This window comes from Homo sapiens, chromosome 16 (genome assembly GCF_000001405.40).
Source record: "Homo sapiens chromosome 16, GRCh38.p14 Primary Assembly".
NCBI classification, from domain to species: Eukaryota; Metazoa; Chordata; class Mammalia; order Primates; family Hominidae; genus Homo; species Homo sapiens.
The window spans coordinates 69,097,723-69,117,886 of record NC_000016.10 but is presented as its reverse complement, the minus strand read 5'-3'; the positions used below and the strand labels follow the sequence as shown (position 1 = coordinate 69,117,886).

At 53.0% G+C, this 20,164-nt stretch overlaps 1 protein-coding gene across 8 annotated transcripts in view, besides 5 other annotated features; it reads right to left on the bottom strand.

The window, feature by feature from the left end:
• HAS3 (hyaluronan synthase 3) overlaps positions 1-20,164 on the bottom strand; it is a 35,236-nt gene that overhangs the window by 833 nt on the left and 14,239 nt on the right. Inside the window, exons 2-6 of one of the 8 annotated variants that reach the window (XM_047434047.1) lie at positions 18,221-18,537; positions 12,100-12,202; positions 7,856-8,491; positions 4,345-4,446; positions 227-3,544 (exon numbers count right to left, since the gene is read on the bottom strand). In XM_047434047.1, coding sequence (XP_047290003.1) covers positions 2,621-3,544; positions 4,345-4,446; positions 7,856-8,491 — 1,662 coding nt within the window. In that variant the 5' untranslated portion in view covers positions 12,100-12,202; positions 18,221-18,537 and the 3' untranslated portion in view covers positions 227-2,620. Of the gene's footprint in view, positions 1-226; positions 3,545-4,344; positions 4,447-7,855; positions 8,492-10,191; positions 10,348-11,171; positions 11,316-11,570; positions 11,666-12,099; positions 12,235-18,220; positions 18,538-20,164 lie in introns of those variants that run through there. The other 7 variants (XM_047434046.1, XM_011523061.3, XM_047434045.1 and 4 more) reach the window with 7 other exon arrangements.
• Positions 7,555-8,524: an enhancer, noted in NCBI's record as "H3K27ac-H3K4me1 hESC enhancer chr16:69143266-69144235 (GRCh37/hg19 assembly coordinates)". NCBI's record gives its function as "activates a minimal SCP1, AML or CMV promoter by ChIP-STARR-seq in naive H9 embryonic stem cells {active_cell/tissue: H9 hESC(naive)}" and the evidence as "EXISTENCE:reporter gene assay evidence [ECO:0000049][PMID:30033119]".
• Positions 11,608-11,887: a silencer, noted in NCBI's record as "silent region_7651". NCBI's record gives its function as "represses an Ori minimal core promoter by ATAC-STARR-seq in GM12878 lymphoblastoid cells {active_cell/tissue: GM12878}" and the evidence as "EXISTENCE:reporter gene assay evidence [ECO:0000049][PMID:35858748]".
• Positions 12,021-12,569: an enhancer, noted in NCBI's record as "OCT4-NANOG hESC enhancer chr16:69139221-69139769 (GRCh37/hg19 assembly coordinates)". NCBI's record gives its function as "activates a minimal SCP1, AML or CMV promoter by ChIP-STARR-seq in naive H9 embryonic stem cells {active_cell/tissue: H9 hESC(naive)}" and the evidence as "EXISTENCE:reporter gene assay evidence [ECO:0000049][PMID:30033119]".
• Positions 17,324-17,825: an enhancer, noted in NCBI's record as "H3K4me1 hESC enhancer chr16:69133965-69134466 (GRCh37/hg19 assembly coordinates)". NCBI's record gives its function as "activates a minimal SCP1, AML or CMV promoter by ChIP-STARR-seq in primed H9 embryonic stem cells {active_cell/tissue: H9 hESC(primed)}" and the evidence as "EXISTENCE:reporter gene assay evidence [ECO:0000049][PMID:30033119]".
• Positions 19,250-20,075: an enhancer, noted in NCBI's record as "H3K27ac-H3K4me1 hESC enhancer chr16:69131715-69132540 (GRCh37/hg19 assembly coordinates)". NCBI's record gives its function as "activates a minimal SCP1, AML or CMV promoter by ChIP-STARR-seq in naive H9 embryonic stem cells {active_cell/tissue: H9 hESC(naive)}" and the evidence as "EXISTENCE:reporter gene assay evidence [ECO:0000049][PMID:30033119]".

The window sequence follows — 20,164 nt, the reverse complement described above, 5'->3', positions numbered from 1 at the left end:
GCAAGCTTTGGTTTTTAGTCTTAGCAAGGGCCCATTCATCTGCCAGTTAGTTATTTCACCAAAGACCCTCTACACTAAAAGTTAAGCCCCCATGGGTGTAGTTACCAGGATGGACATATTGCCCAGGTCTTGAGTCCCACCTGACTAAACTTTCTATTTTAAGTCCCTCTTTGGAAACTGGAATAAAGAGCTAGCTTTCATTAAATACAAAGTAGTAGTTTCGAGATAACCGGCATATGTGAGAATCTTTATTTTGACAAATAAGTGCAGTATAAAAAACTTGACCTGAAAATTAAAAAAAAAAAAAAAAGCAGGTAAAAATAAATATGTTTACAAATTATTGTAGAAACAATACAAAAGAGGATTTGAATTCTCAATGAGGAAAAACCAAAATGCGTCCAATTGTATAAAGGCTCTTCCCTTGCAAGAAACGGGGATAAAGCTGAAGACCCAGTTTGGTTTTGCTGCTGAAAAATGTACAAAATAACTTAGAAAAACCAGTCGAGGTCAAACGTTGTGAGCCCACTACCTGTACCTGCCTGTTTTTGATTTGAGGAAAGTTGACGACCACAGTGCAAGGCAGAGCTGATGGTAGGACAGCCAGGAGAGCCTGTCATCCTACATTAATCTTCAAGTAAATGCTGAAGAAAAACAAGCCCTTAGCGAAGTCTGAACTCTGCACTTGGCTGACCGGATTTCCTCCATTCTAATGCTCAAAATAGTTTAACTTCTTGGCCAGCAGAACGATTGCCTGGATCAGCTGCCTTAGCAAATGCCTGCTGCCTTCCAGCCTTCATGGGTTGGGTCTGATGTCAACCAGCAGTCTTACCAGAAACTCGAGGTCTGTGTGATGTGGCAACTGTTAGCTACACCTGGAAAACCCTTGAGTTCGTGGGAGATGAAGGAAAGCACCAGGGTTTGCCCATCTGTGGCTCAGAGCACACCTTGCGTCTTTGTAGGAAGCACTTGGTACACTAGAGGCTTGCCCTCTTGTCTGCTGTCCACCTTAGTGCTGGTTCTGCACGGGTTAGCTGGCCCCTCTGAGAAAGGACATTTGGAGGGCAAGCAAGCAACCCTTAAGTCAAAGGCTTAGTCAGGATCCCAGGTTTTAAACTCAAAACGCTGAGAACAGCCTGGATTGCAAGTCACTGGAAAATGGCTTCCCCTCATTCCCCAAAAGCAGCAGAGGGAAAACAGCCAAAAACAGCCTCAGGAGGCATGAGAGAGAAAGCAAGAACCTTAGGATGTAGGAACCAGTTTCATCTCCTAGTTTGGTTTCTGGAAAGAAGCAGGCAAATGCAGTGACTGTCACAACTTGGCTGTAAGAATTCCCTGGAGAAGCCACTGAGGAGAATGGATGGTCTCAAAGATAACCATTTTGGATTTGAGAGTTCACTTTGGGAACACTGAAAAGCTTTCCATTGGAGATGATTGTCAAGAACAGTAGCCTGAAAGTCACACATGCTAACCCGGCTGCCAAGGAATCCGTCCAAGCAGCTCCAAGATTGTAGCCAATTTGATCAGAGGCTCCTCATAGTTCCCATATGTGCTGAGAACACGCTTGCCTCCTGCTGAAGCTTCTATAAGAGCCGGGGCTCCGCCCCAATTGCCACCTTGAAAACCTTACCTATGATGATGAGGGTAGAAGAGGTGACTGCAGTGATACCTCAAAAAATGTGGCTTTGAAGAAAGTGAAGTGGGGAGTGTGTCTTAGCCTCAGATCAGAGCTGAATTTGAGAGGAATTCAAGAGTATACAGGTTAAAATACCCAAGACTTCACTTCTTTTCTGAACATGTTGGGGCTTAATCTTTTTATCTCCCCAGCAGAGATCACAGACAAGCTAAGAACCCATCTAGACGTCTGAGCAGTTTCCAGGTGGAACACCCAAGGCCTCTGTGTAGCTTATGGCCTCCTTTAGCACCACCACAATCTCTTTGTTCCTCCTGGCAAACTTTCCTTTTTAATGTGCACTTTTAAAAGCAGTTCAGTGCTAACTCCCTGCTGGTTTGGCTCATCCCTGGAATGTTGATGTGGAGTGGGGTATCTCACATAAAGCACCATTCCTGGACCCTGTTTTCTGATGCCCAAAGATCAGGCTTCTGGGCCTTGTATCTCAGGCGCAATCTTATTGCATTGATGACTACTTAGGGGTGGGGTGGGGGTGACATACACTAACCGGCCCAGCTCGCTCAGTAGAAATTCTCCTGCCACCTCTGGTTGTGTTCAGATGGGCTGGGAGAACCTCCTTCCGCAGGTTGCCGTCACTCAGGTACCTATCACAAGTTGCCACTGAATGGGACTTAACTTGGTTTAGCACAACTTCTGAGTGCCCTCTGGAGCCCAGGAGGAGGCTACTGCCTATGTGCAGATGCAAGCAGACAGGCAGTCTGAAAACACAGAATCCCCTGCAGCCCTGCATCTGGGGGATCAGTGTTGCCTCCTCTAAACAGAGCTGTCAGGCCATACTACATCACCGTTCTTTGCATTTTAGATTTGTCCTTTGGACCATTAAGAGACTAAAACACAGCACTCCCTCCTCCCTCCCACCCTGTCTTTTCTCTTCCATTCCCCTTCCCTCCCTTACCCATTGCACTTTACCCGCTCTGCTTGGGGGCCATGTCACACCTCAGCAAAAGCCAAGCTGTACTGCTCCGGCTTCTTCCCACATCGCCGGGCGATGATGGCCAGATATAGCATGAGGAGGGCCACCCAGTAGCAGCCATACAGTATAGCCCCAGAGACAAGGAAGGCTAGCTCTGTCTCACTGAACAGGTCCTGGCAATAAGCTGTGTAGGCCAGCCCTCCCAGGAGAACTGCCACCCAGATGGACACAGGAATGAGGCCAATGAAGTTCACCACAATGGTTTTTCGGCCAGAGGTGCCCCAGCCAGATTTGTTGATGGTAGCAATGGCAAAGATCTTGGCCGGCAGAAGGCTGGACATATAGAGGAGGGAGTAGAGGGACATGAAGATCATCTCTGCATTGCCCCGAAGGAAGCAGGCGTAGGTGGCCTTGATAATGCCCACCAGCTGCACCGTCAGCAGGAAGAGGAGAATGTTCCAGATGCGGCCCCGGTAGAAAAGCTGTATAACCGTGGCAATGAGGAAGAAGGGGAAGAAACCCGTGACCACTGACTCGTAGGTCATCCAGAGGTGGTGCTTATGGAACCACAGAGAGTTGTAGAGCCACTCCCGGAAGTAAGACTTGCTCCAGCGGGTTTGCTGGTTGAGCCACCGGAGGTACTTAGTGGGGGTCTCTGTGAGGCACTTGGAGCGCGCGGTATACTTAGTTCGGTAGCCAAGGCTCAGGACTCGGTTGGTGAGGTGCCGGTCATCCCCGAAGCTGCACTTGCTGCCTAGGAACTTCTGATGGTACCAGTCCTCCAGGAACTGCTGGAGGAGGCTGTTGCGGTACATGCCCAAGGGCCCACTAATACACTGCACACAGCCAAAGTAGGACTGGCAGGCCCGCTCCACGTTGAAGGCCATCCAGTACCGCACGCTGCTCAGGAAGGAAATCCATGAGTCGTACTTGTTGAGGATCTGCAAGGGAATAGAGATGCTGGGCCTCCTAAGGTTGCACGTCCGGAGGACAGACATCAGAGACCACGAGGCCTCCTTACCATGGCTTCTGTGGCCCGCTGCTTAGATTCCTGGCCATCGGTTCCTTTGGAGCTGGGAAACCTGAGGCTCAGAGGAGCCAACCACACACAATCCCTGTCCCCAGCACCAGCTCTACCTCCCTACTGTGTCATCTTATCTGCAGAGATTTTCCCCACTAAGTGGCTCTAGCAGTCAAAGCCACCTTCGGTCTCAGGAGGCAGCCTGTGGTGGTGGCAGAGAAGGGGGCTTGGGAAGAATGCAAAACACCACCACAACCACCTGTCCTGAGATTTCTGTGGTTGGAAAGTTGTAGGGGACCTGGGATGCTGCTTCAGTATCTCTGGCAGATTGGGGCCCTTATTCTTACCGTATTGACCAGAGCTCTTCAGCCCATCTCCTAAGAGCAAGGGCTGCTCAAGGATCTGACTTTGGAGCTACTTGCTGTACCACCGGCCAAAAAGGAAGTACCTTCTAGGATGTATGGCCTCAAAATACTGTGCCCCTCCTGCAGTATAGACTCTGCTCCATACCTGTTTAAGTGACTTCCCCTCATGTGGAAGAAGAGCAAGAAAGGGGTTGGGCAGTGAGGGGGGCGAGCTCTTTGGTGTCAGTGAAAACTGCCAGCGAGGAACCTCCCCCCAATACTAGGAAGTCAAGACACCCATTTCCCAGGCATATCCAATTGGATTAGGAAAAAGAGTCCAGACCCCTCCCCACAGATATCCCTGGTCTCATCTTACCTGGACATCTCCCCCGACTCCCCCTACTTGGGGATCCTCCTCCAGGACTCGAAGCATCTCGATGGTGCAGGCTGGATCCAGCACAGTGTCAGAGTCGCACACCTGCAGAGGGAGTGCGTCGTCAGCCCATTCTGACCTCAGACCTGCACACCCTGTCCCCCACCCCACTGCCAGGCTGCTCACTGCCTGAGAGACATGACCCCTTCACACATGACTCACTTCCAGCCTCTAGCTAAGAGATCTGCGCTACCAGAAGGTGCCAGAGGTAAAATGAAAGCTAGTAAAAGTGTACAGCTACCAGACTTGACAGCCACTAGGCTGAGAGGGAGAAACCCTGAAGACAGTAGGTGCCAGGCGTGGAGAGAGACATGCTTAGCACTGGACGCAAAAAATTGCTCTGGGGTCCTTCGGCAGAAGGGAAACGTCACTGAAATCAGATGGCAGGCACAGTAGGGTAGCCCAGGACTAACAGGCTGCATATGGCCTTAAGTGACCCCACAGAATTAACCACAGGGGTCCCCGTGTCAGCCTCTGACCCCTTGGACAACCTGCAGCCCACTGGTGGTTACCAGACTACCTACTTGCAGGCACCTCTATGAGACCAGTAATAAGGCTGCTGGCCTCTGCGCCCTCAACAGACTCCCTTGGCCGAGCCTCTCGGACCAGGGCACGGTATGGCTGAGGGCTCCCCCTGGAGGCTGCTCTGAATAGGCATGGAAGCTGCAGCAGCTGCCTCCAGGCAGACCCCAGGGCCAACTCTGCCCAGCTCTTGGGAGGCTTATGGCCTGATTCTAACAGGTGGTCTCATTATGAGTTGAACCCAGGCCACTAGTTGCCCTAGTGGCTGACTCCTTTTCTGGTTTCTAAAAAATTAGTGAAGTGGTACACAAATCCAGTGAGCATTGGCCAGGAGAACTGGTTTACAGACCTGATTTACTCTGTGGTCACTGTTAGGAGAGCAACAAAGAGATCCACAGATAAACCAAAACCCTGTTCTGTAGAAGCCTAAGATCCTTGTATTAAAGTTGCTGAGTAAGATTCCTGCAGGAAAGGAGGCTGCCTCTGACACCACAACCCCACCCAGCTTTCTCTATGTTGGAAGACAGGGTGGCCACAGATAAGCAGTAGAAGGCTAAGGGGGAATCAGAACAGCATCAGCACCAGGCTGAGTCCCTCATATGTGCTTCTTCCCACCTCCCCACCAGGCATATCCTTACATCCTGGTCCATGCCTGGGAAGGGCCCAGGAAGCCTCAGGCCAGACTAGCAGAGCCTCCTCCACTTACAGGCCAAGACTCCCAGCACTGCTGCTGTTCTGCTGGTCTCACTGCTCCTCCCTGCCCCTGCCCTAGCCCATTCTTTATATGCTGCTTTGCTTCCTTCAGTCCAGGGATGTCTTGGATGTCTTTCTAACTGAGCAAGGTTAGGGAAAGAAGAGCTCTCGTGCTGCCTGGGTTTCCCCACTGGCTCGGGCAGAGTTCTGCCTAGGAGGGAGAGATACCTCCGCAGCAGGCGGTTAGAAGACAGGCTGAGATCCAGCAAGCGCTCACTGGCTCTGGCCCAGGGCAACCTTATGCAGTGATCCCAGGGCTGTAAAGAGACAGCTCAGGTGTGTGAGCCTGTTTGCTGATCCACCAGAACCCAGATGGCCAGGAAAGGGAGATGGCAGGGTGGGGTGGGGGTGAGATCCTGTGCTTGAAGGGAATAGATGACAAAGTCACTGTGGCTTGAGCCTGTGCCAGGGCTCAAGGGCTTTTCCCTAAGCATTTGGGTCCCCAGGAAAGTTTCACAAGGTCCCACGACCCCAGGTGAACTGCAGTCAAAACAGCCTGCTAAGCTCTCCTAACTCCCTCCATGACTGAGGAGGTCCTGGGCCTAGGAAGCCAGAAAAAGATAAACATATCAACCCTCATGCAGAGACAACTGTCAAAAAAGCCAGACACGCAATCTGAGTGAGCTAATTTTAGGTGTGTACACCAGAGAAAAATCGTATTAGGGGACTCAAAATGCTGTCAGCAGACTGAGTTGGTACACAGGTGGGCTGGCAGGACAGCCACTGCACCTTCAAGCACTGATCAAGTGATGGGCAGCACCCTGCTCTGGCAGGCGTGGAGGTCAGAGAACAGAGTCAGGAAGAGAGGCAGCATGGATGCCATCAAGAATCCTGGCCTAGGCCAGGTGCGGTGGCTCACGCCTGTAATCCTAGCACTTTGGGAGGCCAAGGTGGGTGGGTCAGCTGAGGTCAGGAGTTCAAGACCAGCCTGACCAACATGGAGAAACCCTGTCCCTAACTAAAACTACAAAAAGTAGCTGGGTGTTGTGGTGCACACCTGTAATCCCAGCTACTCTGTCTCAAAAAAAAAAAAAAAAAAAAAAAAAAAAAAAATCCTGGCCTAGAAATCCAGGGTCCTAGGGTTTCTACTTTGTACTGAAAGATGTGGTCTTTAATCTTTTCAACTCTTGAGTTTTTTTTATTTGAAGATGGAAACCATATCAACCTAGTACAATTTCCAGGCTTATGTCAGTGATTGCTTTGACCAAAGCTGGGCAGGGTTTAATCAGGGTCCCGCCCCTGCCGATGCTCCTACAAAATGAAGCTAGTCATTCGCACCTGTGTCTCTCACCGCCCAGACATGACTTTGACACTAGGAAGAATGGGACTTTTTGGCCATAACTAGAATATTTTGAGTGTTTTTGAGGATGGTTTCTTTTGCTCTTCACCACGCTTTCTTATGAAGAGGTTCAGCCCCACGTTGCCATTGCTGAGGCAGTGCTGCATCACAGGTAAGAGAAGACTTGAGACAGACGGCCTGGGCGCAAATCCTGGCTCTGCACCCTACTAGCAATGGGACATTAGGCAAGTTACTTAGCTTCTCTGTGCTTTGCTTTCACCTTCTATGAGTGGAGATAATAGCACTTCTCCCTGGGAGTGTTAAGAGGATTAAAAGGGCTAACATGGAGCTGGGTGCGGTGGTGTATGTGCCTGTAATCGCAGTTACTAGGGAGGATGAGGTGGGAGGACTGCCCAAGGCCAGGAGTTTGAGGCTATAGTGCGTATTGATCATGCCTTTAAATAGCCGTTGCACTCCAGCCTGGGCAACATAGTGAGACCCTTTGTCTTTAAAAAATAATAATAATAAGGCCGGGTGTGGTGGCTCACGCCTTATTCCCCAGGAGCCATTCTCCTGCCTCAGCCTCCCGAGTAGCTGGGACTACAGGCGCCTGCCACCATGCCCGGCTAATTTTTTATATTTTTAGTAGAGATGGGGTTTCACCGTGTTAGCCAGGATGGTCTGGATCTCCTGACCTTGTGATCCACCCGCCTCGGCCCCCCAAAGTGTTGGGATTACAGGCGTGAGCCACCGCGCCCGGCCACCTTGTTGCCTTCTTAAGTGCACAGGTGTGTGCACAACCCAAGGGACCTAGACCAGACCTCAGATTCTTGGCGGAGAGTTTGCCAGGCTGTCCAGACTTATCCCCATGTACACACGCTCCTAGGGAGGCGCCCTTACCTGGATGTAGTCCACCGAATCGCCGAGGGCCTTGAAGGCCGTGTACATGACCTCGCGCTTGCCTCCCCACTTCTGCATGATGCACGAGAAGGTGCTGGCCCGCACCACATCCCGCACACGGTCCATGCCCTCCTGCAGGCTGGCCTCCGTCTCACCCTCGCCTGCCTCATGGAAGTTGCTGCGCCACACAAAGAAGCCGGCCTGCTCGGTGCCGCCCAGCACCTCGTGGAAGATGTCCAGCATGTAGGCGTCCTCCTGGCGGTTGCCATCCACCACCATGACCACCTTGAGGTCAGGGAAGGAGATGCGCTGGGCCGAGCGCAGGCACTTGCGCAAGTAGTCAGGGTCCTCCTGGTATGCGGCAATGCACAGTGCCACCGAGCCCCGCCGCGGGGAGGGCAGCTTCAGGGCCTGGCCGGCACGTCGCATGCGCCGGTGCTCCAGGAAGGCAAAAAGGCTCTGAATGAGCAGGTGCAGGCCCAGGATGGCGCCGTACAGGCCGAAGGACAGGTAGTGCTTTTCCGTGTGGATGAACTGGTAGCCCGTCACATAGGCTGCCAGGATGCCACCCAGCACTGCCAGGGCAAACAGGCTGGTGCCCACCACACGCAGGGCTGTCGTCAGCTGCACCGGCATCTGGCGAGAGAAGGCAGGAGATGAAGGGTCAGGCAGGAGGCAGCATTTCCAGTCCGTGGGAGCATGGGTGTTCTCTGTTACTAGTGGACATGACCCACTGATCAAAACCGTTACCGCTTACTGAGCATAAGACTTGGTAGACTCAGAAGCCAGACTACTGGGGTTCAGATCCCAGCTCTGCCACTTGATGTCTGTGCCCCCTTACGTCATCTGTAAAATGTGGGTTGCAGGACTAACCTCAAGGCATCTTTGAGGGTTAAATGGGCGACACATACAAAGCCCTTAGTGTAGCACTGGGGTAGACAAGCCAAGGCCCAGAGGGTCACGTGACATCTGGCTGGTGGGTGGCAGAACTGGGCTCTACCTGGCCCAAAGCGCTGAAGAGGTAAGCTTCAAGGGGGTGAGCCTGAGGCAGCTCTGGGCACCTGAGGGCCAGGGAGGCAGCCAGTGGCCTAAGAGCTTCCCCCTACCCTGCACCCACTCCTGGAGGGGATATTCACCAGTAAAGTGCAGCCACCAGTAAGACCCAAGAAGAAAGTGCAGGAGCAAAAGAAACAGCAAACAAAGGGGCATTGGGAAAAAGCAGCAGCTTCCCTTTCTCAAGACAGTTATTAGAGAAACTTTCCCTGTGTCCTCCACTTTCTCACCTTTTACTTGAGAGGCAGGAAAGAAAGGGAAAGCAGGGGGAGAGGCAGACCAGGAAATGCAAGCTGGGGAGTGGACAGCCTCCTAGAGCCCAGGGCTGAAGAAAGCACAGGGAACTGCAGCCACCACTGCAGCAGCCTCCACAGTGGCTGCCTGGGCATCCCATCCGCTTGGTCCTAGTGCCCGTGCAGCATGCGTCTCTGTGCGTGTCCCCCTGCCCAGCCACTCCTGGAAACAATGCCCGGTTTCCATTTGCAACTAAGTCAGGGCTCCTAACATCTCCCCTGTTGGAAACAGCTGTATTTTATAACAGCCCAGGACTTGGCACTAGAGAATTGGGTTTAAGACAGCACTTCTGCCTCCTGGCTGCCTGACCTTGCCCCAGTTCTCTGAGACTTGGTCTCCCCATAGCACAATGGGAGTTCTAATGGATTCCTGCCTCATGTCTCAGGTAAGTCATTTCCCTAAAAATGGAAACACTTCCGGCCCCGAAGAGCTACCCTAGTGGTGAGGGTGACTGTGGTTTCCTCCAGAGCAGGTGGGGAGGGGGATGTGAGGGAGGGGAAAGAAAAGGTGGCAAGGATGGCTGCCGGCCTTCCCATTCTGACCCACACTATCTCCTCTCTGCCACCTGCCTGATCTAGAGAACCCCATGTTCACTGAGGTCTACAGACAATGATGCCTCGCTTCCAAGCTTGCTCCAACTCTTAGGTCTCAGGAAACGGAGCCCCCAAAACAAACACACTTTCCTGTCGGGACGCCTCTCACGTAGAAGGGACGAAGAACACGCAGTCACTGCCTAAATCGACCTGAGACTCCGGCACTAGCAGCCTTCCAGCAGCGTTGGCCCGAAAAGAGCTGCTGGCAGCCTAGCCTCTCCGGGAAGCGCGGCCTCCGGGCGCTCTGCCCCACCGTCCCGGGGAGCCCGCCGTGTGCTTCCTTCACAGGACTCCCAGCCCTCCCTGTTGCCACCCTACTGCTCGCGCCTGCGGCCCAGGAGTCCCCAGGCCTGCATCCGCAGCCTAGGAGCGCCCCCATTCCCCTCCGGAGCTTACATGCTGAAGGGGCGCGGCGGGACCCCCCTGCCTGCCTGCGCTCTGGGTAGGGGAAGGGGGCGCCAAGGCCAGCCCAGCAACCTGGGCGCTGGCGCCCCGCCTCGGTGCAGTGCCGGAGGCGGCGCCCACCAGGTCAAAGCAGCCGCGAACGCACTCGCCACGCTTCTCATCCCCGCTCGAGCCTCGCCTCTTGGCAAAGGCGGCGCCGGCCACACCCACGTGCCGCTTTCCCACGACCCAACCGGGAAGGAACGGAAAACCCAAGGGATCCCAGTCGGACCAGGCCCTGCTCTTCCTGGTACCCCAGCTACCTTGGCAAAGTGTGCCTGTAGACAAAGGCGCATCCCCGGTGTAGCCGGCCCTCTCCTTCCCTGGGCGGGACCCCTCCCCCGCAGGAATTAGAGGCATTACCCAGGTTACTACCCCCACCCCCAAATAGAGGCCCCCAAAATGTCCCTCAGCCAGATACCCCACGTGCAATCAGGCGCTGGTGCAGGCTGTGGTCGAGGTTCTCCTGCCCAGACCTGGGGCGGGGGGCTGTGTCACCCCAAGCCGGCAGAGGCTGTGGGGTGATCCTACAGCCTGGACCGCCGCCTCCTCATGCCCTTCGCTCATCCACGGGAGCCCAGCCCAGGCAAACTAACGCGCACTCGGCTTTCAAGGGCACAAGGTTGGGGGCGCTCTCAAGTCCGGCTCCCAGGACTACGGAAGGAGAACCCCCAGTCAAGGACGCACGCTTCTCCATCAAGCCTCCGAAACTTTGAGGGGCTGCTGGTGTGCAGCGTCTCTCCCGCTGACAGGTGCGCCCCGCGGCAGGGCCACACGCAGCGGCATGGAAACTTGTGCGCCCAACGGGGCTCCTCCTCTTGTGCCCGGCCGCCCTCCGGGCCCCTCCAGGCCGGCCAGGGGAGGGGAGCCCACTCCCCCGGACACGTGCTGCCGCGGCCCGGCTAACCCGCAGGAACGTGGGCGCCTGGTACCTTGGTGCCCGGACAGGTGCAAACCCCCGGGAGGTCGTAGAAGGTGCGGGGGAGGGGTACCCCAGCCAGCCTGGAGCCCCGCACCGGCGTCCGCCTCCTAATTCATTCACAAAACAGGAGCCGCCGGGGAGGAGGGAGGCGAGGCTGGAAGAGGAGAGGATGCAGGAAGAAAGGGAGGAGGGGTCAGTGGGGAGGGGGCTGCAGGAACGGCCGCCGGGAAGCCCGGGGCTGCCGCCGCCCCCAACCCGCCTCCCCGCGCCGGACGCGGCGCCCGCAGGGCTGGGAGCTGGCCGGGTGCGGGGGGCTCGGCGAGAGGCACCCCTGCCACCCGGCGCGCCCCGGCCTCGGCGCAGCCCCGCGCGGCCCTCCCCTCCTGGGTGCCGGCCGGCCCGCGCTCACCGTGCCGCCGGCTGCCGCGCTCCGGAGCTCAGCAGGCCCGCGGCGGCTCCATGCCCCTCCTCCCGCTCCGCTCCGCGCCGCCGCGCGCTCCGACTGCCGCCTGCCCAGCCGAGCCGCCCTTAAGTACCCGGCGCGTGCCCGCCAGGAGAGGCGCCTCCCCCGGCCCTGGGGCCGGGAAAGTTGACCAGAGTGGGAGGGCCCCCGCGGGCGCACCCCCGACCCCGCGCGGTCCCAGGGAGCGCCACAAGCCAGCGCTCGGCGGGGACGCCTAGTCCCGGGTGGACGCGGCTCCGGCTCGCAAGACTCGCAGCCCCTGCGCCCTCTCCGAAGCTGGGTCCCCCGAGTGGGGCCGAAGGCCACGCGGCTCTGCAATCGCCCTGGGACCAGCTGCCAAGGCAAGACGGTCATTGGGCTCAACCTAGAACCTGAAGCGTCGTTAACTTTCCAGATACCACGCAGGGACTTCCAAAATTGTTACTCTCCCTCCCCGCCCCCACGCCCCGCTCTCTAACCCGCAAAACCTACTCACCCTGCAAGGAAGGCGAGCTGAGAGCACTCTTCCCCGACTTCTGCACGCGAAGGGGCAGTTCGCTGTCTAGGGGGCTCCCGAAAGCCAAGGCAGCAAAACCTTCCTGCTGGCAGGAAAGAGGCGCTGAAGAGAATTGTCAAATGTAAAAAGGCTGGTCAAAGAAGGTGTTAACAATTGTGACAGCTTAGCTTTGAATTCCGCAGTGGGGCGCTGATGACTTTAAGGCGGTTTGCAAAAGCTGCAAACGGTTTTGTAGGAACCTTGGAGGTTCCGGTGTCTTAAAGCCAAAACAATTCCTCCTCTTCTTTTTCACACCTTTATTTCCGACATCCATGACCTCCTAAATTCCCAACTGACCTTATCGACAGTAGTTTTCAGGTCCCTAAAAGATAGTGCTAGACTCGAGTAAAGTGAGATGAAGTGAGTTGGGGTGCACTGGGGTGGGGTGAGATCGAGGAGGGGGGAGAGTTGTTAGCAGAGACAAGAAGTTTAGAACCAGCTGAAGGCGATGAGTTTTTACATCTCAGGAAAACTTGAAGAGAAATTATAATTAATAACTAGTTTTTAAAAAATGAGTGGCCGGGCGCCGTGGCTCAAGCCTGTAATCTCAGCACTTTCGGCGTTACGGGCACCATGCCCGTAATCCCAGCTACTCGGGAGGCTGAGGCAGGAGAATCGCTTGAACCCCGCAGGTGGAGGTTGCAGTGAGCTGAAATCGCACCACTGCACTCCAGCTTGGGCAGCAGAGCGAGACTCCGTCTCCAAAAAAAAAAAAAAAAAAAAAAAAAAAAAAAACCAAAAAACAGAGTTTACCTGTTTTCCAAATACACCTGATATAATTTCTATCACTTCTTCCCAAGCTGCAACAAATTTATAGGCACCTGAGCTGCAGTCTATAAACTTCTCCTCTCGCAAGTTTTAGGGGCTCAGGGACTTGCCTGCCCACCATTGCTCAGTCTGGGCCACAGACCTCACACCTCAGTCCCCGCAGGCAAGCAAAGACCCCAGGCACACCTACTCCACACAATCCCATCTTACATTATTGGCCAGGCACAGTGGCTCACACCTGTAGTCCCAGCACTTTGGGAGGCTGAAGATGGAGGATCGCTTGAGGCCAGGAGTTCAAGACCAGCCTGGGCAACAAAGCGAGACTTCCCCCGTCTCTACAAAAATTAAAATTAAAAAATTAGCCAGGGCCGGGTGCAGGCTCACGCCTGTAATCCCAACACTCTGGGAGGCCGAGGTGGGCGGATCACGAGGTCAGAAGTTAGAGACCAGCCTGGCTAATATGGTGAAACCCTATCTCTACTAAAAAATACAAAAATTAGCCAGGCATGGTGGCACGTGCCTGTAGTCCCAGCCACTGGGAAGGTTGAGGCAGAAGAATCGCTTAAACCCAGGAGACAGAGGTTGCAGTGGGCCAAGATTATGCCACTGTACTCCAGCCTGGGCGACAGAGTGAGACTCCATCTCAAAAAATAAAAATAAAAAAAAAAAGAAAAAGAAAAGAAAAGAAAAAAAAAAAAAACATTAGCCAGGCATGGTGGAGTGTGCCTGTAGTCCCAGCTACTAGGGAGGCTGAGGCAGGAGAATTGCTTGAGCCCAGGAGGTCAAGGCAACAGTGAGCTATGATCGAACCACTACACTCCAGCCTGGGTAACAGAACAAGACGCTGTCTCAAAAACAAATTCCTGGACTCCAGCAGCCCTTCCGCCTCAGCCTCCCTAGGAGCTAGTCCTATAGGCATGCTATCCAGCCCAGCTGCCAATGTGTTTTGAACTTCAGATGGCCTGAGGGGCCCTACCAGAGCCATTCCTACTTACACAAAGATGGAGAAGAAGCCTTAGGTTGGTGGAGGGGAGGGCTCTAGAGTCTGCCAGTAAGCCCCAGTGTCTTCATCCCACAGATGGGATTGCTAGGCGGACTGATAGGAAGTTTGAAGAGATTGGCTGAGGGTAAGCGCTCAGCAAGTGTTAGTAAACCAGACAGCAGCATCCTTTGCCCATGCCACGGGTTCTACATGGCCATCCCTCTAGAGCACTCAGTGACAGCAAGTTCAAGGATCAGTGTTTGAATAAAAGAAAACTGCCTGGCCGGGTGTGGTGGCTCACACCTGTAATCCCAGCACTTTGGGAGGCTGAGGCGGGTGGATCACCTGAGGTCGGGAGTTTGAGACCAGCCTGGCCAACATGGTGAAACCCTGTCTCTACTAAAAATACAAAAAATTATCCAGGTGTGGTGGCAGGCGCCTGTAATCCCAGCTACCCAGGAGGCTGAGGCAGGAGAATCACTTGAACCCAGGAAGCAGAGGTTGCAGTGAGCCGAGATCGTGCCACTGCATTCCAGCCTAGGCAACAAGAGGGCAACTCCATCTCAAAAGAAAGAAAGAAAGAAAAATGTCTTGTCTCTCTTGCATTATGAACCCTGGAGCCCTGGGCTACCTCCTGCACACCCAGAGGCATCACAGACCCCTGGAGTTGCTGCAGATGAGGATATCTCTGATCCTTCCTCCTTCCCAGATTTGCAATCTGCAACATCAGAGAAAATAAGCAGGGGCTTGGCAAGGGCAAAAATGAGTGCATCAGCCTGGTGGAGAGCAAACGCTCCGTTTAGAGGCTCATCTCCCTGTGGAGGGAGGGCCTCATGTGGCCAGGTGCTCTGTTGTCAAGAGAAGCCAGAAATCCAGATTTTGTATGTGAAATCTCCTAATTTTTTTAAGCATTGGTAATTCAAATGTTGAAGGAAACACACACACACACACACACACACACACACACACACACATGCACACTCCACAGGCCAGACATAATGTGTCTGAGTCATATCCAGCCAACTGGCTGCTTGTAAGTGACCTGTTTAGAAGCCCAAGGAATGGAGAAGCCAGTTTGGAAGGATCCCTTCCGTCCTCACTCAGCAGCAACATGACTTCTCTGGGTGCAAGTTTGTCTCCCTGGGGCTGGGCCAGGACCATCTCATGCCTAGTTAGTTTCTTAGACTCCAACTGTGTCCCAAGGCTTATTGCCCTTCTCACGCCGCCAGCTCCACGGAGTTTTCCAGGTGGTGGGGCTGGTTCAGCACAACCTCACGAGTCCATGAAAACCTCCTTAACCAACAGTGGGTCCAGATAGAACCTCATGAGGACAACAAACACCCTGCCTGTACCAATTAATTGGCTTTGCCCCCTAAATGGCCTGCCCTAGGGAGCACTCTCTTTTTTTCTGATCTGCAGGGCCAGGGACCTGGTGTTATCAGGCAGATAAGAGAGTCTTTACCTTTATGGCAGTCTATGCCAGGGAGGATTTGCCTGTAATTAGCATCCAGTTTGTGGTGTCCTATTTGCATTCATCCCTTCACGGGGAGGTGGGGAGGGGTTTCTTTAAGGGGCTGCTACAATCAAGCTCGAGTTTATCTCTGCTTACCACTGGGGATTTAGAAATAGGGCTAATTCCACACCCAATCACTTAAAAACATGAATTCAGATGTTGCTGAATTGGCTTTTCCACAGGTTCCAGAGGATAAATAAGCCTTCCTATTTGGCTCAGTAGTAGAAGATTCACGCTGCACTTACAACACTCATTTAACAAACGCTGAAGCCCTGCTCTGAGTAGAGAACACTGCTTTGGCACCTGGAGATCTCGGGCTGGTCCCTGCCATCTAGAACGTTACCCATTTTGAAGACAAATGTGCTTGAGAGTACAAGTATAGGCCGGGCACAGTGGCTCATGCCTGTAATTCCAACCCTTTGGGAGGCCGAGGCAGGTGGATCACGAGGTCAGGAGTTTAAGACCAGCCTGGCCAACATGGTGAAACCCTGTCTCCGCTAAAGATACAAAAAATTAGCCAGGTGTGGCAGCTTGCGCCTGTAATCCCAGCTACTTGGGAGGCTGAAGCAGGAGAATCGTTTGAACCCGGGAGGCGGAGGTTGCAGTGAGCCGAGATCGTGCCACTGCACTCGAGCCTGGGCGACAGGGCGAGACCCCGTCTCATAAAAAAAAAAAAGAGTACAAGTATAAACTGTACAAGGCAGTTTATAATTAAATATTGATGAGAGAATCCAACATGAGGAGTTTGAGGATTTCAGGAAAGGTCTCTGTGAGCTGGAACAGGCTGGGCAGTTTCATGGGGAACCTGAGCTGCTATGTAGAAAGGGAAGAACATTTTAGGTAGGAAGGATAGCTTAAGTACAAGACCAGGTGTAGGAATGGGGGACATGTGTTTAGAGGACAGCCAAGAGAGGCCAGGGTGGAAGAAGAAATCTACACTAAAGTTCCACCAGCCTGACCAACATGGTGAAACCCGTCTCTACTAGAAACACAAAAATTAGCCAAGCGTGGTGGCACATGCCTGTAATCCCAGCTACTCAAGAGGCTAAGGCACGAGAATCCCTTGAACCCGGGAGGCGGAGGTTGCAGTGAGCCGAGATCATACCACTGCACTCCAGCCTGGGTGACAGAGTAAGACTTTGCCTCAAAATAAAAAATAAAAATAAAGGAGCTTCCAGCAGGGCCTGTTCCAGCCGGGCCTGCTGTGTAGGAAGTGCCTGTTACCCTCTAGCTGCTGTGAGGAGGAGGATGCTAGGACCGGAGTGGAGGACTTGGAGTGACCAAATAAGGAGTTTGAATTGTATCCAGTAGGTTATGGGGAATTACCGAACATGTCTGAGCAAGATAGGAGTAGATTGCAAGTACTGTTTGGGGAAGGTTGGGCTGGCAGCATTTTGGGGTAAGGACTAGGAATGGGGTATGGGAGATCTGTTAGGAGGCAGATGCAACAATAAAAGGCTGAGGAGAAGCCACGATGAGAAGTGTGGGTGCTGCCTTCTGGAGGTGGAGGTGAGCACAGGCAGTGACAAGGAATAATCCTAAATGAGTGCCTTGCACGCCAGGAATAATCCTCCAACACTGGAGGCATAACCAAGAGAAAAGTACTCGACGGTGCAGAGAGTTCAAGGGGCCTTTCTCAAAGCTTTAGCAGGTTGGAGGTAACTGAAGCTGACAGTTCCACAAAGATTTCACCTTTCAATGAAATTCCAAATCCAAACTCACGAAATGCTCAAATATCCTGCACCCGTAACCTCTCTGTCATCACCAGTGCCGGAAGCTGCAGAGCAACCTTGCCAGGACCCAGGTGCTCCATCGTCCCACGGTTCTGCTCCGCTGTCTCCTAGTGAGTGGCTTGAGCAGGGGAGGCGGGAGGAGGGGCATCCAAGCTCTATAGGCTGCCCCCTCACCCTCTGCCCTTAACGCTTCACTGCTCCTCCCTGGCATCCAGCCCATCACTTCCAGCAAAGCAAAACAGAATGGAGGATGGCAGCCAAGCTACCCAGGCTGCCTCCAACCCTCCAAGTTTCATCCCCATCCACTTTCCCTGGGCTGACCACCATGAAAACCTCTTGAAGCTAAGGAGGGCGAACTGAAAATGGCTCCCGAATAGTAGCAGGTTATGTTCCCGCAGCTGCCCAAACAGGGCTTTCTCTTCAAGGCGGCTTCAGCTGCAATGCTAGTTAATACATAATTCAAAGTGGAAAGTGTGTGCCTTGACTACAGCAAGGCAGCTACCACCAAACAAAGTTATTCTTTCATAACTTTCCCCTCTTACTGACAAGCACTGTGTAATCAGGACCATTTCCAGGTGCTATGTTTGAAGAAGCAGGCTTAAGGACTTTCCTGTGCTGCCGTTAGAATGGTTCGATTTTAACTCCAGTCTCCCTCTCCTTTGATGGAAGAATCGTTTCATTTCAAATTAAGGGGCCTCTGCTCTGCTGGAGGCAAAGCGGTCAGCCCCTGCTAAGGGGCCAGGTTCTTTTATGCTGGCTTGAAGGTCAGGATTAGGAGGGGCACACTAGACCGATAACCGAATATCAAATCAGACCTGGAGATGCTTTTCTCAGAATCCTAAACAGAAAAAGCTCTTCCCAGCCATCTTTCTTTTCTCTCCCTCCCCTAGGTGAGTGTAGAAAAAAAAAAAAACCCAGAAGGCAATTTTCAACACTTATCTTTTTAGTGGAATATTGTGCAGCTACTAAAAAAACACGTTCATGAGGACAATGGAGGAATACTCCAGACACCTACGATGCAGTGTTAAGTAACGAACAGGAGACACAATCGTTATGTATGCATACCTGCATTTATGTTGTTGTTTTCTTTAAAATCGTATGAATTAGGCTGGGCGCGGTGGCTCACGCCTGTAATGCCAGCACTTTGGGAGGCTGAGGTGGGTGGATCATGAGGTCAGGAGATCGAGATCATCCGGGTCAACATGGTGAAACCCCACCTCTACTAAAAATACAAAAATTAGCTGGGCATGGTGGTGTGCACCTGTAGTCCCAGCTACTCGGGAGGCTGAGGCAGTAGAATCGCTTGAACCCGGGAGGCAGAGGTTGCAGTGAGCCGAGATTGCGCCACTGCACTCCAACCTGGCGACAGAGCAAGACACCATCTAAAAAAAAAATGAATTAAAGGCAGGTGAGAAGTTCACCCAAATATCAAGGTCAGGTTTGATCATTAAGATCAGGTTTGGCCGGGCGCGGTGGCTCACGCCTGTAATCCCAGCACTTTGGGAGGCCGAGGCGGGTAGATCACAAGGTCAGGAGATCGAGACCATCCTGGCTAACACGGTGAAACCCCGTCTCTACTAAAAATACAAAAAATTAGCTGGGCTAATTTTTTATTAGCCTGTATTCCCAGCTACTCAGGAGGCTGAGGCAGGAGAATGGCGTGAAGCCGGGAGGCGGAGCTTGCAGTGAGCCGAGATCGCGCCACTGCACTCCAGCCTGGGCGACAGGGCGAGACTCTGTCTTAAAAAGAAAAAAAAAAGATCAGGTTCAGGCTGGGCGCAGTGGCTCACACCTGTAATCCCACTTTGGGAGGCAGAGGCAGGCAGATCACCTGAGGTCGTAAGTTCGAGACCAGCCTGACCAACATGGAGAAACCCTGTCTCTACTAAAAATAAAAAATTAGCTGGGCATGGTGGTGCATGCCTGTAATCCCAGCTACTTGGGAGGCTGAGGCAGGAGAATCGCTTGAACCTGGGAGGCGGAGGTTGTGGTGAGCCGAGATTGTGCCACTGCACTCCAGTCTGGGCAACAAGAGTGAAACTAAAAAAAAAAAAAAAAAAAAAAAAAAATCAGGTTTGATAATATATTAATAGGTTTGATATTAAAATCAAGTGGTAGAACAATGGATTTTTTTTCTCTGAAATTTCTATTAATAAGTAAAACAATTTTGTAATAAAAAGGTATTTTAAGGCCAGGCACAGTGCCATGTGCATGTCGTCCCAGCTACTCAGGAGGCTGAAGTGGGAGGATTGCCTGAGTCCAGGAGTTTGAGACCAGCCTGGACAACACAGAGAGACCCCATGTTGTAAAAAAAAAAATGAAGATAAATTCTGAGTTCACAGGATTTCCTTTTTTTTTTTTGACACGGAGTCTTGCTCTGTCACCCAGGCTGGAGTGCAGTGGCGCCATTTCGGCTCACTGCAAACTCTGCCTCCCGGGTTCACGCCATTCTCCTGCCTCAGCCTCCTGAGTAGCTTGGACTACAGGTGCCTGCCACCATGCCCAGCTAATTTTTTGTATTTTTAGTAGAGACGGGGTTTCACTGTGGTCTCGATCTCCTGACCTCGTGATCCTCCCGCCTCGGCCTCCCAAAGTGCTGGGATTACAGGCATGAGCCACCGCGCCTGGCAGGATTTCCTTATAAGCCCGGGCAGGGTGGGGTGCAGTCTCTATCATACATGGATTCATGTGAAAAAGGTTTCACAACCTCAGTTTACAGTGAAAGCAGTAAATAAAGTGGGAGGGCCAGGATTTAGGATTAGTGGTAGCCAAAACCAGAGTGATTTCCTTTATGTAAATTCCTCCCACTGTTCCTTTGAGAGAATGTAGCAGGGAAAGGCGGAGTCTGCAGAGCTATGCCAGCTCTTTGGGCACCTTTGAGGGAATTATAAAAAGGCACATGGCTTGGCTGGCACACCCCAGCTGGGGCAGTCCACACTCACCTCCTCATTGAGGACCACAGTGGTCCTGGGCAAGAGGGGGAGGCACATGCTAAATACGGCTCTAGGA